Raw genomic sequence first — 2410 nt, forward strand, 5'->3', positions numbered from 1 at the left:
ACCTAGGAATCCAACTTACAAGGGATGTGAAGGACCTCTTCAAGGAGAACTACAAACCCCTGCTCAAGGAAATAAAAGAGGATACAAACAAATGGAAGAACATTCCATGCTCATGGGTAGGAAGAATCAATATCATGAAAATGGCCATACTGCCCAAGGTAATTTATAGATTCAATGCCATCCCCATCAAGCTACCAATGACTTTCTTCACAGAATTGGAAAAAACTACTTTGAAGTTCATATGGAACCAAAAAAGAGCCCGCATCACCAAGGCAATCCTAAGCCAAAAGAACAAAGCTGGAGGCATCACACTACCTGACTTCAAACTATACTACAAGGCTACAGTAACCAAAACAGCGTGGTACTGGTACCAAAACAGAGATATAGATCAATGGAACAGAACAGAGCCCTCAGAAATAATGCCGCATATCTACAACTATCTGATCTTTGACAAACCTGAGAAAAACAAGCAATGGGGAAAGGATTCCCTATTTAATAAATGGTGCTGGGAAAACTGGCTAGCTGTATGTAGAAAGCTGAAACTGGATCCCTTCCTTACACCTTATACAAAAATCAATTCAAGATGGATTAAAGACTTAAACGTTAGACCTAAAACCATAAAAACCCTAGAAGAAAACCTAGGCATTACCATTCAGGACATAGGCATGGACAAGGACTTCATGTCCAAAACACCAAAAGCAATGGCAACAAAAGCCAAAATTGACAAATGGGATCTAATTAAACTAAAGAGCTTCTGCACAGCAAAAGAAACTACCATCAGAGTGAACAGGCAACCTATAAAATGGGAGAAAATTTTTGCAACCTACTTATCTGACAAAGGGCTAATATCCAGAATCTACAATGAACTCAAACAAATTTACAAGAAAAAAAAAAAACAACCCCATCAAAAAGTAGGTGAAGGACATGAACAGACACTTCTTAAAAGAAGACATTTATGGAGCCAAAAAACACATGAGAATAGTTCTATTTATAAGTAGATACTTCATGACTTTCTCTTAGGGATCTTCCAAAGAACAAAGAGAATGATTCACTTTTTTAAATTAAAGTAAAATAAAACTCATTCTGTTTCATAATTATCATTTGATTCATTGGACTCTTTAAGTATAAGATCCATTACAGGTTCTTAGTGATTTTTTTTTTCTATATTTGCTGTTTCATTATCCTAGAAATTATTTTTCTCATTACTTATCAATTATTCTCAGCTATGCTAAAGACAAAGAAACTTTTAACAGGAAGTCAGAATGATGAAGCCACCCAGAAAGATGTTTAAAAGGTCAAATTAATAACAATTCCATCATCTTTCAGTTTTCTTATTGCATTGTATGAAGTACTGCATCATAATTTGAGAAGGTATAACAGGAGACTGGAGACATGATCTTTGTAGTCTACTTTTAGATTTAATTGAACATAATTTTGAATTCAGAATTTCTCATCTTCAGCCCATAAGAGCAAACAGAAGAAAACTGAGAGAGGAAGATATTTCACAACTGCAAGATGAATCAGAAATTAACGCAAACAGACACATAGAAGCACTCTAGTATATTCTAACAATGATAGTGAAATTCATCACATAAAATTTCAGATTATAAATATTCAGATGACAATATCTCAGATGAATTTTCTCAAATTTAAGAAACAGCAAGTGAATAATATATTTCTATGGATGAAAATAAATACGGTTTTCTCATATAGTTAATCATTCAACAGGAAGGACATCATCTTACAATGTTTTGGGACAAAAATTAGACCTTGCTATTATGTTAAAAAAAAAGTGAAATTGTTATTTTACTTATTTTGATGTCTGCATGTCAAATTTTACTTGATATAGTTTGTAAGAGACAAATGTTGAAAGCAAGTGTGTATAAAAATATATTTAGAAAAAAATATAAATAATGTAGAAATGAAAAAAAATCACTCAATGGTATTTATAAAGGTAAAGCTGAAAATGATTTGGAATTAAAAACCAAAGAAGATTCAACCAACGTTATGAGTCATTGAAAAGTTTCAAAAACTTAGGTATTGAATTTTGATGATGCAAATGTAAAAACAAAAATCAATGATAAGCTAAAACTTATTTAGATATATATTTGAAATATGAAATCTGTATTTACAAGATGGATATGTCCCAGGTTCATTCATGACTGCTGATGATCAATCAGTTAATTCAGAGGATGTTGTCCCTTGGGTCCATATATATAACATCAAAATCAGGGAAATGTGGAATAAAATTTGAGTTTACGCTGCTTAAATTCTTATTTGAATTTCTAAGTCACTTTCAGTATCCCTTTAGTCTTACTGTTGTGAACTATTTGTTAAATGATTTTAAAAGATAAAAAAAATTTGAAAGTACATTGGATCCAGATGGTAAATAGCATGGCTATTTTTCCTG

This window comes from Homo sapiens, chromosome 9, assembly GCF_000001405.40.
Source record: "Homo sapiens chromosome 9, GRCh38.p14 Primary Assembly".
In the NCBI taxonomy this organism is placed as follows: domain Eukaryota; kingdom Metazoa; phylum Chordata; class Mammalia; order Primates; family Hominidae; genus Homo; species Homo sapiens.